The sequence below is a fragment of the Homo sapiens genome, chromosome 8, assembly GCF_000001405.40.
Source record: "Homo sapiens chromosome 8, GRCh38.p14 Primary Assembly".
Taxonomy (NCBI): Eukaryota; Metazoa; Chordata; class Mammalia; order Primates; family Hominidae; genus Homo; species Homo sapiens.
In genome coordinates this window covers 61,577,340-61,595,373 of record NC_000008.11, presented here as the reverse complement: position 1 = coordinate 61,595,373, position 18,034 = coordinate 61,577,340, and the positions used below count along the sequence as shown (strand labels likewise).

The window sequence follows — 18,034 nt, the reverse complement described above, 5'->3', positions numbered from 1 at the left end:
TTGAAACATGTATTTTCTCTATTGGGTAATACATCAGAAATAGTTTGTCACTTCATCATCCTGCTATTGCTCAAGTAAACTTAACTATTTCTTACTCCCCAGAGACCAGGATCTTCACAGTTGGGTATTTGTTGAAAGTTTGTGGTCATCCTGTCATGCCTACCACCTCTACTATAAAGCAAGATTAATCAATTTTGTAATGTCAGGTTTTCATTCTTATAGCATATGGAGAAACTCTAAAGACACTCTTGGGGTTTCTCTCATTGTGATTTTCAAGTTGTGTTTAAAGATATCCACTCTGTTTTGGTGAAATCTCAGATGATATCTAAAAAATATGAATTCCATGTAATTTATTTCTTAAAAGTTATAATAGTGAAAACCAGTCAATATCAGTTCTGAACAAACATCGGTCAAACATAGATCCTGCTGACATCTAAACAATCAAATGAAAAATAAGATAGTTCAGACATAGGATTAAAAATACTGAAATTATTCATTCATATAATATATACAATAGTCCTTCCTTGTCCATATGGGATACTTTCCAAGAACCCTTGGTGGATACCTAAAACTATGAATAGTACCAAACCTATATATACTATATTTTTTCCTATACATACACACTATGACAAAACTTAATCTATAAATTAGTCACAGTAAGAGATTAACAACAATCACTGATAATAAAATAGAAACATTATAACAATATACTGTAATAAAAGTTATATGAATGTGGTCTCCCTCTCAAAATACCTTATTGTATTGTATTCAGCTATTTTGGGACTATTGTAGACCATCTGTAACTGACACTGTGAAAAGCAAAACCGTGGATAAAAGGGGATTCCTGTACTAATCTTTACATGTAGCTGAGATGTTGCAGAGCAAAATCACCTGTAGCAATTTTTTTGGTATTGGGGTTTGGGAACATCTGTTTTGTTTCAGGTCCTTCAGGAGACACTGATGCAAGCTGGGCTTAGAAATTATTATTTCATTTGACATCACTGGGAAATCAGTATTTCATAGAAACAATTATTTAAAGATGATGTTAGATAACTTTAAGCATCATTTAAGCAAAATTAATAAATTCGGGTGATATTTTCTAAAGCATTTTAAAATCATTTCCCCATTTAAAAAATGTGTTGTGCAAATAATTTAACATTCCCTGGTGACTGGAGACTATAATTCTGATTTTAATGAACATCAGTTACTGTATCATGCAGTGATGCTTTTGGGGACTGTTAAAGTGTTTGGCACCATTTATGTCTACACAGTTTAACCCATGTTGCAGTGCTATTGGAGCTGGGTTTATTTCAGGTTTATTTCTGGTTTCTGACTTTCTTACTTTCAGTCTGTCAGCTTGTATCCGCTGCTGAGTATATACCTGCTTCAAACAACCCTCACTCCATCTTGTTAGTTTGTTACCTATAATAACTTAAGGGCTAGAGAAACAGAACACCAAGATTATTAGAATTTTATCTAAAATAACATTTGAGGAAGGTGGCTATTCTCTCATGGAACGTGTGCGTGGGGATAAAATTCAGTGTCTGGCACTGCTGTTGGTGAGGCTGCGGACTGCTTTGGCACTGAAGGGTTTTCTGTTATGTCTAGAAAACACATCACTTAGCATCTCTAAAATTTCTAATTTAACATATGGGGTCACATCTGTTAAAGGATTATTACTCTAGAAGGGGAGTGATGTATAATTTATAAAAATAACCCTATGGGAAGGCAGCCAACTACATGTAATAAACTGGAATACTTGCTGTCTCCATTGAATGCTCCCAGCAGAATCTCACATTAGTTTAGTAGAGGGAGCAGATGAAAACAATTGCCCTTTATATACTATTTACTGGGTTGTATAAGTTAGCATCTCTCAGTGAAAAATATTTGTTAACTGTTTGGTTTAAGCTTTGAATATTGACCTCCTGCTGGTATATAGTTGATAATTAATTCTGAAAAAACAGAAGTCCATTATTCTTAGCTGTAGGAGGCAAGAAAGAGTGTGCCATCCTTGGTAAGAGAGTCTTTCAAGAGTTGCCCAAATTTACTTCTTCTTCTGGTAATACCTATAGAGTAGATCGTGTTAGAGAAAAAAAGCCTCAGAAGGGGCTATTTTTGGATCAAACACATTAGCTTTTCTTTCTCACATGGTGATAATACAAACAAAGGCTCCTGCCAGAAGCACCTCCATGGCTGTCTGCATATTGGGTTTCTCAACAGCAAATAGCATGTCTCTCAATATGAGAGCAGATTTATTTCAGACCCCAGTGTGAGGCATCACAGTAGGGAATACCTTGCACAATTCCCACTTTTAAATGAAAGAGAAAATAACTGAGGGCGCCTACCCACATCCCCCGCCTGTAGGAACACTCGTAGATTCAGGTTTGCTTTTCCTGTGATTAGCAGATAACGTTTCATCAAAAATCCTAACATGGGATTCTTGAATTCTTGAATGTTTTCTTCTTTTTTACCCTTTGCCTTAATTTATAGATTTACCTCACTGTCAAGACAAATGTAGAGTGATGTTTCTTTTATTGAAATCTATCAGTGATTTTAAAAAGAAAAGCAGAATTAGCTTCCAATCCTAATAAAGGAAGATTAAAATAAGCAGGGGTCCTATCTTGGGTTAACTGTTAATTGCTATGAATAATATTGCAGTAAGGTTGCTTTATGTGATGACTTTGAAACTTCACACCACATCTCAGTCAGATACAGAGCACCTTTTTCTTTAATATCTTATTTTGGTCTTACTTTTCCTTCCCTTAAATTGTTTTGCTTTTTAGATTATTTTTCATCAAATTCCACCTTTGAATAACCATAGCCAAAAGCAGTATTTAATATTTTATGTGATTCTGCTTAAAAACACATACTAGAGTTTGGGAAGCAGGGGAAGTTTAGCATGGCCTCAAAGCTCTTTAATCCTTTGTTGACTTGAAATCCAAACTGAATGCAGGTATAGTGTGATAAAGTTATTAGTTGCCCAAAATCTCTGCCAGGGAAATGTCTGATCATAGAGAAAATCTGATCTTTTTAAAAAATTAACTGCTTAAACATTTATTAATAAGAGTCAGGCACATTTCCCACTTAATTAAGCATAGAATTTTAAAGTAACTAAAAATAAGATACTGTAGATGAAAGTCATAATTAACATTTATATGAGGTTTTATGCTCCATGACTTTCCTTTACTGTAGTAGGAAGGAGGTCAGATATTATCCCCATTTCGTGGATGAAAAAACAAAGGCTCAACAAAATTAAGCAAGCTGCCTCAGAAGTAGCGGAACTGAAGCTCACAGACTGGCCTTCAGGCTTGTACTCTGTGGTCCTTCTACCAAGCCAGGATGTGTCTGTGTAATGTCTAAATGCTACGTCTTGAGACACAAAATGAAGGAAAATTACTATGGTTATTTAACTGCCTTTATCCTTACAGACAAGTAATACAAAGTTCAGCTACTTCCTTTACACAAATAATACTTATACTAATACTTAATTCCACTGTGTCATCACCCTTAAAACTCTTAGGAACACCCTAATTTCTTGACTTCTGAGCCAGATGCCAAAGATATAGCAAAATGGTTAAGAGTACAGACATTGGAGTCTACTGGAGAGAACCCGAAGCTTCAGTCTCGGTGCCTACTGTTTACAGTTTGTGCAGCTTGGGTGAGTCACACATGTCTAGAAGGCTTAAGTGCTCCATAAATGTCAGCTGTTATTATCAGCACAGAATTGGCTAAGGCATTAAGCAGTGACTCAGAACATAATAGCAAGCTGCTTTGGGAAGTTTTTGTTATTCTAAAATTAGCGAGACCTTGCAATCCAAGAATTTACTGTTAGTTGTGCCTTGTATTCTGCCATGTGTGTCCCCATTTGCTCAATATACTGAAAAACCTACATGGAATAAGATGTAGAATAAATGTTAGTGTTCCCTACAAGATCTTCAGTGGGGATTATGGTACAAGTATCTTGCTTTTTTTTTTTTTTAATCTTCCTCTTCGGGCCCCTCCATTATTGACCATTGAAACTTTTTGGATTTGAACTCTATAAAGCAAGCAACTCTCAGGTAATTTTCTATATTGGTTGTTTATAATTTTCTCATTTTTTAAAAGACAGCTGATATGCCCAATTACAAATTCACATTGCCATATCCCCTTCTACAGTGTCTTGCTTCATTCATGCCTGCATGCATTCATGCCTTTAGAAACATGAAAAATTGTTGAGGATTTCCTATAGGACAGGCCATATGCCAAATGCTGTTTTGTAAATTATAAGTAACACAGTTCAGAAATTAACAATCCAGCAAGGGAGGAAGGTGGGAGTGAGGGGGGAGAGTTTGAGCGAGCACTGTGTATATACCGCCAGCATGAACACAGCCTGAAGAGTTTACTATTTCTAGAAATAGTAATGAGTATAGTAGTAATAGTAATAGAATGTTATATGACCATAGGAGAGATTATTTTCTGCCTAAAGATGCCTTAAACTTGATAGAAGAAATGACATTTAAACGAGGTCTCAAAAGTTAAAATATAGAATATTCTTTGGTAGAAATAAAGGAAAGGGTTTTCCAGGAAGATAAAACACCATGAGAAAAACCACAGAAGTGTCAATGTTCATGCCATATTCGAGAGTCTATATAAAGGAAATTAATAGAAGAGGAAAATGGAGATTAGGGGCCAATTTGTGAAAGGCAAAAGCTGGTTCAAGGAAATGCAACTGTGCAAGAGCTCAAGATGCACATTATTTTCCTTGAATAAGTATAGCATTTCAGATGGGCTAGTGGGAGAAATTCATACACACACACACACACACACACACACACACACACACAGAGTTAAATTAAGGTCCGTATTTAATCAGCCATACAAAATTGTATCAGAAGCAAAATGGCAGCCCAGGGCAGGGGCAGATGCTATGTCCCTTTGCATGGCTTCCCTGGCCATCTAGAGTCCTTCACTGGTGCAGATGGGAGCCACAGTTTTCCACTCTCTGTCTTGCATGTTTTCAAAAACCCAGTTCTTGCTATGCCACTGCCCTTTTGTAGTCAGTGTGTATACCCTCTCTCGAAAAACCTTATACTCCCAGAGCAAGCACTCTGGACTCTACTGGCTTTTGAAGCAGGCTCAGCATCAATAAAGTTCCTTCTTCAGACACGGGGAGAAAGCAAGTCAGTGTCTGGGATCCCTGAGCAATATCTACACCTTCAGCTTCCCAAAATTCTAGAAAGCTGAAATTCTTATTGTAAGAAAATTTATGTGTTATGGCACCAAACCCTAGTATCCAAGCAGGAGAGGAATTTTAGCCTTTCACATTAAAAACAAAACAAAAAAACCAAAAAACAAACAAAAAAACCTAACAATAAAGGTTCAAATTCCTGATTGTGATTGAGTTACAAAATAAATACTCTCTCCTCTGGCCAGAATGCTACCTCTCCCTGGGTATACAGAAGTTTTTAGTTTCCCCAAGAAGGCTCCCCTCCCAAATAGATTAGTACCACTCCTCATTCATCCTATAATTGCACATATTCCTCTAACTATTAGTTATTCATGTATGTCTTCCCCAAAAGACTATAACCTCCTTAAGAAAGATCCCGTTGAATTCTGAGAACCTCACACAATTTTTGGAAAACGGGCACTTTAACAAATTCTTGAGTGAATAAACAAGCCGGTGAACAAGATGGGCCCTAATCCACAGTCCTAGGTCTCCCTCCACTGTGGGCAGAGTGACATGCTGAGGAACGGCCAGTGTTTTGATGTAGTTCAAGAGTAGGGTGCTTGGAAGGCTGGTGGCTGGTAAGGAAGAGGGCAGTCTGGAGTAGAAGAGGTAGCTGGGATGTTAAATACAAAAATATTCCAATGTCATTGAGGGCCTAGCTAGGTCTAGATTCGCATGTTGGGTTTTTTCCTTTTTGTGTGCAGGTAAGTGTGTCTTAAACATGGGTGAGTGAATTACCTCCCAAAAGATTTTTGGAGAGTTTCAAACTAAATTTAATTTCATTTTTGAAAAGGATGCTGTTTTTATTCCCAAGTGTTTCTCATACTATTACACCTACACAGTAAGAGTCTTCACTGAGAATCATGGAGCTTATCTCTGCCTTGTAACTTTTTTTGTTAAAAGTCAGGTTCATTAAGAAGGAATTTACATACAGTAAAATTTACCTTTTATAGTGTGTATTCTATGATGCATATACATCTAGATACAGCTTTTATCCACCACAACTAACTTACAGAACTTTGCAACCCCCTAAATTATTTTGTGCCCTTGTAGTCATCCCCTTTTCCCACCACAGCCTCTGAAGCCACTTACCTGTTTTCTGTAGCTGCAGTTTTCAGTTTTCCAGAATGCTATCTAAATGGAATTAGTCAGTAGCCTTTTGGACTAGGCCACTTTCACTTAACATAATGCATTTAAAATTCATCCATATTGTTGCAGGTACTGGTGTTATTGCTGAGTAGTATTTCATTTTTTGGATATACCACAGATTGTTTTCATTCACCAGTTGATGGACATCGGGTTTTCTCTACGTTGGGGCTGTTGTGAACAACCCTGTGGTGAATATTTGCATGCAAGTCTTTGTGTACGTCTTCATGATTTATGTTTTCATTTTTCTTGGGTCCGTAATTAGGAGCAGGATTGCTAGGAGGGCATCCCAGTGAATTTAATTTCTATTTTTTATGTTCTGGGGATCTATGGGTGTATTTTCAGCAATGTAATGACATGAATAAATAGTGTTTCAAAAATAACCTGAGAACAAGGTAGAACATGGGAACAGACTCGAGTCAGGGAGACTAGTTAGGAAATTGTTGCTTTTCAAAATATACCTTGTAGGAGAAATTGCTGTTTTCTTCACTGTCTTCAGTGGAATGGGTATAGGACATAGAGTAATGTGAAGATTCTGTGTCTGTTTTTATTGATGATCAACTTCTCCCCATGGACTGTAGTATAAAAACATCTTCCATGAACTAAGTGGAAATGAAAAGGAGTCAACGTAATTTTTATAATCTACAAATGCATCACTAGTGTTTTCCTCCTGCCTTCAGCTATCCTTTTATTTTCCTTCTTTTCCATTTTGTTTGCTCTTAATATTTCAACCACAGCCTGGCAAGGGAAGTAAGGATTTGAAATGTAAGTGTTCCTTTTTCTTTTCTTCTTTGTGCTTTTGAAAAAGGGCCAAACACTTGTAATGGCAGTGATTTAAAAACAAAACAAAACTTTAATTTATATATAGCATAGATAGCTTTCTCCTAAACCATTTTGAAAGATCCAAATTCAACAAAATTAATAATTCTTTCTAGTACCTTATAGGTGTACTTTAAAAGATTATGAACATAATTTAAATACTGAAAATTAGAAGCACAGGACTTTTGAGTTCAAAGAGACCTTAAGAGAAGCAGCCCACATCACCCATTTCTTACCCATGGGTAAGAAAGCTGAGGCCCAGAGTGCTGGAGAGAGTTCGCCAGGGTCCCATCACCAGCCTGAATGAGGACTCATTTTTTCTACAGGTAGAACATGTGCCTCCCCAGAATGAGAAGAAAGAGTGAGTCTGTGGTTTTTAGCAGTTGGGAAAATTGCCTCAGGCTTTCTGTGTACTTAAAAATAAAAATAGGATAAAATTTGAATTTCAAAGACAGGTACAATAGTTAGAAGCTATCAAATATGAAGATATATGAAAAGATAGAACATGGTGGCATGCTGTGAGATTTTTAATATTTTGTCTATTTTAGTGCTGTTATTGAAATATCGTGACACTAAGATACAGCATTGCTCATTAACAAGCATATAATTTTGCTGTTACACTGTTTTGGATGTCCTAAACTGCTAGTTTTTAGTTTCTTTTAAATAAATATTATTTTAACTTGAATTTTATAACACAAGAGACATGTTGGGGAAAACCAGTGATGCCCACAGTGAAACTGTCTACTCAGCTGCACACCAGGCTTTTCTGGAGGTCTCACTGTCATTCTGTTGATAGACACTTCTACAAAAGCAAAATGAACAATTGGGAGACATAAGTCTGTGCTGAGATGACAAGGCATGAGCTCCTACTACCATCAATCTGTGTCACAGAGAAATGTCTATTCATTTTCCATATCAGCATATATGGTAACATATAATGGCATGCAGTTTAAAGCTCATTATTCACTGTTTTTTCAGTCTCTGCCTTAGACACATATAGCTTTCAACATTACAGGGATTAGGGTTTCTGGGAGGAGAGAGAAGGAAAGTCAAATAAATATAATAGAAGATCATAGCAAACAAATGTGTAAGTAATTAAAAGATGATCAGAGTGTCAGCTTTATTACTTGATGAAAGTTGAATTAAAAGAGGGGGTTTGGATAATCAGGAATAACAGATTTCTTAACACTGAGCCCCAGAATTGGACATACCCACTGCTCCAGACAGCATGGAACAGCCTTAGTTCTTCCATGTGAGAGCCTCTCTTGCAGTTCCGCTCAGCACGAATGTTCTCAGAAGGTCAGCTCAGCTCAGCTCAGTGTGCATGCTCTTGAGAGGTAGGGAAGGAGTGAAACTGAACTTCAAGTTCCTTCTACCAACTCAGCAAGTGGATTAAGTCATATCACCTCCCCTGTAGGGAGAGGTAGGAGACTAAGTATTTTGGAGAATCTTCCCTCTTCTTGGGAAACACGAAATAAGTATCCACTTCTTTCCATGTGGGTGAGAGAGTGGAGGGGTCAAGGTAACTAACCCTTTTGGAACCTCAGTGGTCTTCTCCGTGTAGTTAAATTCCCTGTGTTCAGGAAGTTGAGAAAATAAAAGGTATCTATGTATAGTGTGTGGCCGGGCGACTGGCGCAGAGTGAGTGCTAAAAAGACAGTAGTGATTCCATTCCATCTTCCTTAGGATGATTCCATGTGCTCTTCTTTGCCCTTATTTTGGTTGTGTTTTATAACCAAGTTTCTGATTTGGACAATTGGGTGTCATTCTCTGCAATAAAGTCAATATGAAAAAGAATAGATGTGTGAGGAATAGCAAATTCTATTTTTTATTTACTGAGTTTGAGGTATGTGTCAATAGGTGCTTGGATTTATAATTTTCGTGATGCAGGAGAAAATGAACTAGTTGGTTTGTAGCTCAGCTGGAAATTAAGTAGTTAAAGCCGCTAAAGAGACTGAAGACTGACCCTGAAGAATATAACATCCCAAGGAGCAGCAGGGAGAAGGAGTTACAGAGGCAATAAAGAGAAATTCAAGAGGCTAGAGAATAAGGAAGAACACTGGGAGAGTGGGCAACATAAAAGTCAAGGAAAGGGATCATCTAGGAAGGAGGAGGGCATCAACTGTGTCAAATGTTGCAAAAGGGCCAGGTAAAATAGGAAGAAACAGAACAAATAGATTTGCAGAAAGCCGTAGCCATTATTATAATAGCTCTCAGGTACTGAGCACTTACTGTATGCCAAGCACTGTGTTAAATGCTTCATATACTATCCTGATTTAACCCTCAAAAACACCCCTAATTTTATAGAGGAGGTAAGTGAGACCCAGAAAAGTTTAGTGCCAGCTTGGCTTAGGTCACAGAGCTTGGAGGTGACAGAGCTGGGACTCAGACCCCTGCCATCGATGCTTAACCACACAGCCTTCCCTCCTCTGGCAGACTTGCTTCTGCCCACGTGGTGGGTGAGGAAGCCAAAGTGCTGACAGGAAAGGTGACAAAGAGGTGCCCCCCAGGGGAGGGGAGGGAGCGTGGCAAGTAGAGGAGGGTAGGCTGGTTTGTTTGTTTGCTGTAAGATGGCAGAAACTTTGGCATTATTTAACGCATTATTAAATTCCCACCAGGGGGCACACGAGAGATGCTGAGAGTGAATAGACATTCAGAAGGCACAAGACAGGTGTGTGTGTTGGCGGAGAGGGGACCTTAGAAAGAACAGCCCGTCTTCCTTTGTGACAAGATAGGGAAGAAGCTATTAACGTCTGTAGGTTTATTGTCAGAAAATTGAGGAAGTTCTCTTCTGATTGTTTTAATTCGTCTCTATCCCTCCCGCTTTGCCCCCTTCCCTGCCACCACTCCCCTTCTCCAGAACATTCTGCTTACCCTTCAAGCTTCCACTCTTGTCACTTGGGGCTTCTGAGAAGTGCTCTGCATCCATCCACTCTGCAGGCACTGCCAGTTGTGCACCAGCAGGACTGGCCCTCTCACCTGCTGGGTGTGCCTTGCCTTCGGGAGGAGGGCTCCTGTTTGCTGGGTGCTGAGGTTGTGCACAGAGCCAAAAACTGTTTGCTAAGTAAGCAATGGATTGATGCTTACATAAACAGATTCAGCCTGCTTTTAAGACACGGTACCACCCTGCAAGAGTTAGGACTAAGATAAGCGCGTGAAGGATTATAACAAAACCCCTAGTGGGGAAGGACCACAAAACAGAGATACGCAGGGTGCAGTGGACTTAAAGACGCACACAGTGGAGCAGGGAACTGAGTACTGTGTGGGTGATTTCAGGAGAAACTTTATAAGGAGCGTGGTTTTGAACTTATTGTTGAAGGATAGGCACGTTTTTCACAGAAGAAGATAAAGAACAGGCTTTTTATTTAAATGAGGTAGCATAAGAAATGGCACAGGTTGGGCACAGTGGCTCATGCCTATAACCCCAGCACCTTGGGAGGCCAAGGCAGGAGGATCGCTTGAGGCCAGGAGTTCAAGACCAGCCTGGGTGACATAGTGAGACTCTGTTTCTACAGAAAAAAAAAAAGAAAAAAAGAAGAAAGAAAGAAAAAGAAAGAAAGAAAGAAAGAAGGAAAGAAAGAAAGAAGAAAAAGAAAGAAAGAGAAGAAATGGCACAAAAAGCTTATTTGGGGATCATGGGGCAGTCTATTTTGGCTGAAGTATGGAACATAGCTGGGGTGGTCAGTCCAGGATGCACTGGAAGGACCTTGAATGCTAAACGAAGAAATTCTGTTTTATTTGACTTCCTTGAGAGGAGCCTTCCATTTTCATCTTTATCTGTATCAGAAAAAGTTGTGGACATATTCAAAAAAACTATTTTAAACAATCTTTTGGACATAGCCAAGAAGTAGATTATGAGAGTTTAGGAGTCATACCCACCATTTACATCCCAGAAACCAAGCCAGTATCCTGGAGAGTTTCAGTATACTATCCACCCACTCTCCCAAGAACACATTGTAGCAGATAGGTAAGGGCTGCATTGCCTTCCTTGGCAGTCACTGACTTCATCACACCATCTAGGGGAGGAAATGGAAGGCGAGCCTGCAGTGTGCCTTCTCCTGCAGGTCTTTGGTGGAGACCAGCATCAGGTTTCCCACTACTTGTAAATTGTTATGCTTAATAACTATTTCTAGTCAAAAAACGTTAAAAATAAAAATCTCTTTTTTCTTTCAGTTAAGAAAAAGAAGCCTAAACTTTTAAATAAATTTGATAAGACTATTAAAGCTGAACTTGATGCTGCAGAAAAACTCCGTAAAAGGGTAGGTTGATATTTTTTGTGCAATGGTTTTGTTGTTAAATAAACTCAGGCATTACTCTTGATTTGTTAAAAAAAAAAAAAATAGTAAGTGTAAAAGAAACAACAGTTGAATAGAGTGGATTTTTCCCCAGGCACATGAACATTCCACATGAAATGAATCAGATGGAAGAGAATTGCTACCACATGGCCAAAGAGAAATAGAACTTTCCTTCAGGCCAGCCGATGCGGGTGTCAGCCTACCTCCATCACATTCTAGTTATGCAGCTTTGGGGAAACCACTTGGCTCTTCTGGGCGTTAGTTTTCTTACAGACATGATAATGATAAATATTCTTTCTACCTCCTAATTGAGTTTTTTAAAGATCAATTTAAAGATCAAATGAGAATTTTTTTTTTTTTTTTTTTGGACAGAGCCTCCACCCAGGCTGAAGTGCAGTGGCACAGTCTCGGCTAACTGGAACCTCTGCTTCCTGAGTTTAAGCAGTTCTCCTCCTGAGTAGCTGGGATTACAGATGCTCACCACCATGCCTGGCTAATTTTTGTATTTTTAGTAGAGACAGGGTTTCACCATGTTGCCCAGGCTGGTCTTGAACTCCTGACCTCAAGTGATCCACCCGTCTCAGCCTCCGAAAGTGCTGGGATTACAGGCGTGAGCCATAAGTGAGATTAAAATAATAATAATAATAATAATAATAACACTGTCAAGTATCATAGAAGTGCAAGTTTTTAATTTTATAGCTCCTTGATGCAAAAAGAAAAACTAGGTCAGTCCATTACTCAGGATAGTAATTGGTAGATGAAATGACATTCTTCTTACTTAGGGTTAACCTCATGCACCTCCAGTTTTCAGGGTACCTTATTTATATTTTAATTTGTCGATATATTTGAAATATTACTTGCATTTCTTTATAGATATTACAATTTTGAGAACAATAAATTGAAACTGGATTTAAGTTATTCGTTCCCTTACCTTGGTCATATCATCTAATCATCGGGTGCAAAAATATTTATTATAATGTATTTAATCATATCTTCAATTAATCATCTCCTTGTTTTTGGCGGAAATTTGTTTCTCTACTCTGCACTTGAATGTAGACTCTGTAATGTTCATTAGTTTTCCTGTAATAGGCTTTTTAATCAGTAGACATTGGCTGCAATAATAAAGGAACAAGTGGGCTTTAAGTAAACAAACAACAATAAAAACACTGGTTAGGAACTAAAATGGGACAAGAATGTACGTCCGCATGTTTATTGAAAGTGTACCAATGAGCATAAAGGCTTTTGGAACTGGCATTAGGTGAGGCTCCAAAGCCAAGGTTTGCCAATAAAAATAGAGTAACTCCACAGAATATTGCAGCAAAGTCATTGTTCACTTCCCTTAAATCTAACCACGTGGAATGATTCCTACTTTCTGATAGTAAACAAGAAAGTTAACTGTCTTGTTTAACTTTATGAAGTGAAGCCATCTACTGTTTGTGGTCAGTTTGTATTTCTTAATAGAATTGAAGCAATAATCTTTTTCTGCCACCTCCTTTGGCAACCTCCACTTTCTCTATACTAAATGTCATATATAAAAATGGGAGTGCCTATTGCACAGGTGACTTTTGGTGTAAAAAACATATGAGCAGCTTTAGAGAAGGATTTTAATGTAATTATATGAATGATAAAGGAGGGCTCAGTTATGGGGTATTCTGCAGTGTTGCTCCTTTGGAGAAGTTATATTTTTCTCAAGGAGCATCTTGAATTTATACCAGGGAAATAAAAGAGGAAGAAGTAGCCCCATATACAATTCTTGCTTCTGAAACAACAGGAAGCTATGTTATTGACTGACTCATCAACATAATTCAGTCTTTTAGGGTTGTTTTTATGGCTAGTATTTTCAGAGGATGCACCTTAGTGCACTGGACCAGCCGAGGCCAACTAACACACACTCCACACAGAGCCAGTGCAGCCTCAGTTCATGCCTTAGGCTCAAGGACTATGTTACATGAAAGTATGTGTTCGCTTTTTATCCCCCCAGAAAAGTATAGATCAGATTATATTCCAATCCTCTATTTTAAAAAATAATAATATTTATTATTTAAAATGCTTTCCTACCTCTGGAAAAAGGGTTTGAAATGATATACTGAAATATATTTGCTTATTTGTTGGAATCACTTATTATTACAGCATTGTAAGTGATTTTTGAAAAGGTGGGGAGGGAGTAAAGAAAATGTAATCAAATACCTGAAAGTTCACACCACTGGCTCTAAACCATGCTAGGAATGAAGTCAACAATTCCTCGAGGGACAACATGGAAAACAGAATCAGAAGATAAGATTAATATTGTTCATCAGAAGAGCTGTTCTGCTCCAAGTCCAGAGAGAAACATTTGGCTGTAGATCTTCATAAAAGGTATACTGATGGATGCAAAACTTCCTACTTCCCCACTGACATCATACCAGTGGATTATTCTACCATGCAGCTGCAGGAATGTATCTTATTATCCTTCCGCACAGCCCATTGGCCTCATGTCAACACAGTGTGGCCTACGTCCATGTCTCTCCCATGAACTGTCTTGGTCCTAGGAGAACATTATAAGCTATGTTGAGGAACAGATCATTTTCAGGCAATTCTTCAAACATTTTGTGTCTTGCAGCTGAGTTTTTAAATTAGAATTGAGCAATAGTGTTTGGAGCTATACAAAAACTTAGGGAAGGGAAATTCTTTCAGACTAAAAGCAAACACATTTACTTTGCCAGCCAACTGAAGTGAAAGCAAGGCTGATGGCCCCTCAGGAAAGTCACAGAGCCTCTGTCTTGCAGGGATTCAAAGGATGCTGCAGACAGAGCCAAAATATCCCATTATTTTAACAGCCTTGACAGTGTCAAGCAGGAATATCTCACCTTATCAAATTTGTTATGAACATTGTTATTCTTATGTTTTAAGTCTGATATTAGTACATTTAGCACAATTATCATTGAAATAGCTTTGACAGTTGCAATTTAAGTTGCATGGGGTGCATACTAGGCTGAAAATAGACCCCCAAAAGATATGTGTCTGGAACCTGTAAATGTTATGTTATTTGGGAAAAGGATCTTTGCAGATGTGATTAAGGACATTGAGATAGAGAGATTATCCTGGATTATCCAGTTGGGCCTTAAATGCAATCATGTTTCCTCATAAGAGAGGGACAGAGGGAAATTTGATGCCGACAAAATAAAAAGTAGCACATACAGAGGAGAAAGAAAGCAGTATGAAGACAGAATTGGATATTGGAGTGATCCATCCACAAATCAAGAAATACTGGGAATAGACAAGGACAAATATTCCCGTAAAACCTCTGGATAGAGCACAGCCCTGCCACCATCTTGATTTCATCCCAGAGAAACTAATTCTGGAAATCTGTTCTGCAAAACTGCGAGAGAACAAAGTTCTCTTATTTTAAGCCATCAAGTTTGTGGTAGTTTGTTACAGAGGCCATCGAAGAGTAACACAGATTTCAATACTGGGCCTGCAGGTACACAGAAGTCAGGAATTGAGGTTTGGGAACCTCTGCCTAGATTTCAGAGGACGTGTATTGAATTGCCTGGATGTCCAAGCAAAAGTTTGCTGTACGGGTGGAGCCCTCATGGAGAACCTCTGCTAGGGCAGCGTAGAAGGGAAATGTGGGGTTGGATCCCCCACATAGAGTCCCCACTGGGGCACTGCCTAGTGGAGTTGTGAGAAGACGGCCACCATCCTGCAGGCCCCAGAATGGTAGATCCACCAACAGCTTGTACTGTGTGCCTGGAAAAGCCGCAGATACCTAAGACCAGCCCATGAAAGCAGCTGGGAGGGGGACTGTACCCTGCAAAGCCACAGGGGTGGAGCTGCCCAAGACCATGAGAGCCCACCACTTGTATCAGCATGACCTGGATGTGAGACATGGAGTCAAAGGAGATGATTTCAGAGCTTTAAAATTTAATGACTGCCACACTGGATTTTAGACTTGCATGGAACTTGAAGCCCCTTTGTTTTGGCGAATTTCTCCCATTTTTTTTTTTTTTTTTTTTTTTGACATTGGCAGAGCTAGCTGAGGTTTTATTTTGGACCAAAAAAAAGCAATTGAATTGTTTTGTAGCTGGAGGCATGGGCAAGGGGGGTCCCCAGGTAGTAAACTCCCCAGGTGGGCTGAGGGCTAGGGCTGAGCCTCAGGTGGGTCTCCTGTTCCCAGTGCTACCCTGAATAGTGGCCTCCTTCTCAGGCTCTGGGGCAGCGCAGGAGGGGTAGGCTGGGAGGGGCTGCCACAGCTGTTCACTTGGGCAGGATGTCAGAGGACTCGGACACCAGCTTCCCATCACATGTCTCGATCTTCTTCACAACCACGGCCCTGGAGGAACTGGTGCGGCTGAGGGAGCTGGAGCCTGCGCCAGAGCCAAAGCTGGAGCCCAGGCCGTAGCTGAGGCCGGGGCTTGTGAGGCCCCCATAGGCCGAGCTCAGACCACCTGCATAGCCGCTGGTGGTCTTCGTATGAATACTCATGTTCTGCATCCCAGACTTCAGCCGGCTCTCTTTGCCCTCCAGCAGCTTCCTGTAGGTGGCGATCTCGATGTCCAGGGCCAGCTTGACGTTCATCAGCTCCTGGTACTCACGCAGCTGCCGTGCCATGTCCTGCTTGGCCCGCTGCAGGGCAGCCTCCAGCTCGGACAACTTGGCGTTGGCATCCTTAATGGCCAGCTCTCCACGCTGCTCGGCATCTGCAATGGCGGCCTCCAGGGAAGCCCTCTGGCCTTTGAGGCCCTCAATCTCAGCCTGGAGCTGGCTGATGTTCCAGTTCATCTCAGAGATCTCAGTCTTTGTGCGCCACAGGTCATCCCCGTGCTTCCCAGCCAGACTCTGCAGCTCCTCATACTTGATCTGGTACATGCTCTCAGCCTCAGCCCGTCTTTGGTTGGCAATATCCTCGTACTGTGCCTTGACCTCAGCAATGATGCTGTCCATGTCCAGGGAGCGGCTGTTGTCCATGGACAGCACCACAGATGTGTCCGAGATCTGGGACTGCAGCTCCCGGATCTCCTTTTCGTACAGCTGCCTGAGGAAGTTGATCTCGTCAGTCAGCCCTTCCAGGCGAGACTCCAGCTCTACCTTGTTCATGTAAGCTTCATCCACATCCTTCTTGATGAGGACAAATTCATTCTCCATCTCTGTATGCTTATTGATCTCATCCTCATACTTGTTCTTGAAGTCCTCCACCAGCCTCTGCATGTTGCCAAGCTCCGCCTCCAGCTTCAGCTTCTCCTGGCCCAGAGTCTCCAGCTGCCGCCTAAGGTTGTTGATGTAGCTCTCGAACATGTTGTCCATGTTGCTCCGAGCCATCTTCTGCTGCTGCAGGAGGCTCCACTTGGTCTCCAGCATCTTGTTCTGCTGCTCCAGGAACCGTACCTTGTCTGTGAAGGAGGCAAACTTGTTGTTGAGGGTCTTGATCTGCTCCTTCTCCTGGGTGCACACAGCCTGGATGTTGGGGTCCACCTCCAGGACAAGGGGGCTCAGTAGGCTCTGGTTGACCATGACTGCGGTGATGCCTCCCATGCCGCTGGCCCCACTATAGCCGCCTCCCAGGCCACCCCGAAAGCTGCTGCTGCCCACTCAGGAGAAGCTCGAGGAGCTGATGTGGGCACCGGGCCCACTCGTGTAGGAGCGGCTGCTGAAGGCCCGGGGGCCAGAGGTGGACACCTTGTAGGACTTCTGGATCACCCTGATGGACATGGTGGAGGCAGGAGTGGAGGCAGGCGGGCCGAACCAGGCGGAGATCCTAGAAGGAGCGGAGAAGCTGCTTCTTGGTCCAATTTCTCCCATTTTGAATGGGAGCATTTATCCAATACCTGTACCCCCATTGTATCTTAGAAGTAACTGATTTGCTTTTGATTTTACAGGCTTCTAAGTGGATGGGACTTGCCTTGTCTCAGATGAGACTTTGGACTTTGACTTTGGGTTTATGCTGGAATGAGTTAAACTTTTGTGGGACTGTTGTAAAGGCATGATTGTGTTTTGAAATGTGAGGACATGAGAATTGGGAGGGATCAGGGGTGGAATGATATGGTTTCACTGTGTCCCCACCCAAGTCCCATCTCAAATTGTAATCCCCATAATCCCCATGTGCCTAGAGAGACACCTGGTGGAAGGTGATTGGATCAAGGGGGCAGTTTCCCCCATGCCGTTCTCATGATAGTAAGTTCTCATGAGATCTGATGGTTTTATAAGGGGATCTTCCCCCTTCGCTCCTCACTCTTCTCTCTCTTGCCACCATGTCAGGAGGGTCCTTGATTCCTCTTTGCCTTCTGCCACAATCGCAAGTTTCCTTAGGCCTCCCCAGCCACGTGGAACTGTGATTCAGTTAAACCTCTTTCCTTTATAAATTATCCAGTCTCAGGTATTTTTTATAGCAGTGTGAAAACAGACTAATACAATATTCGAGAACATGGTAGAACCTGTACTTATATTGAGGGAAAATTCAATTTCTTTAGCAAAACCACATATTACATCATTTATCAGGTGTCTTGTCTTTTTTTTTTTTTTTTTTTTTTTTGCGAGATTGGGCATCCTTGCCATTTTCTTTTTTTTTTGTCATTTTATTATTTATTTATGT

At 40.6% G+C, this 18,034-nt stretch overlaps 1 protein-coding gene and 1 pseudogene across 72 annotated transcripts in view; one reads left to right on the top strand and one right to left on the bottom strand.

Moving 5' to 3' along the window:
* The window catches only part of ASPH (aspartate beta-hydroxylase), a 214,037-nt gene that overhangs the window by 119,219 nt on the left and 76,784 nt on the right, over nucleotides 1-18,034 (top strand). For all 72 annotated transcript variants that reach the window (NM_001413901.1, NM_001413909.1, NM_001413895.1 and 69 more), the window contains one exon: nucleotides 11,345-11,430. In NM_001413901.1, the coding sequence (NP_001400830.1) occupies nucleotides 11,345-11,430 (86 nt within the window). The remainder of the gene's footprint in view (nucleotides 1-11,344; nucleotides 11,431-18,034) is intronic.
* KRT8P3 (keratin 8 pseudogene 3) lies at nucleotides 15,469-17,230 on the bottom strand (annotated as a pseudogene).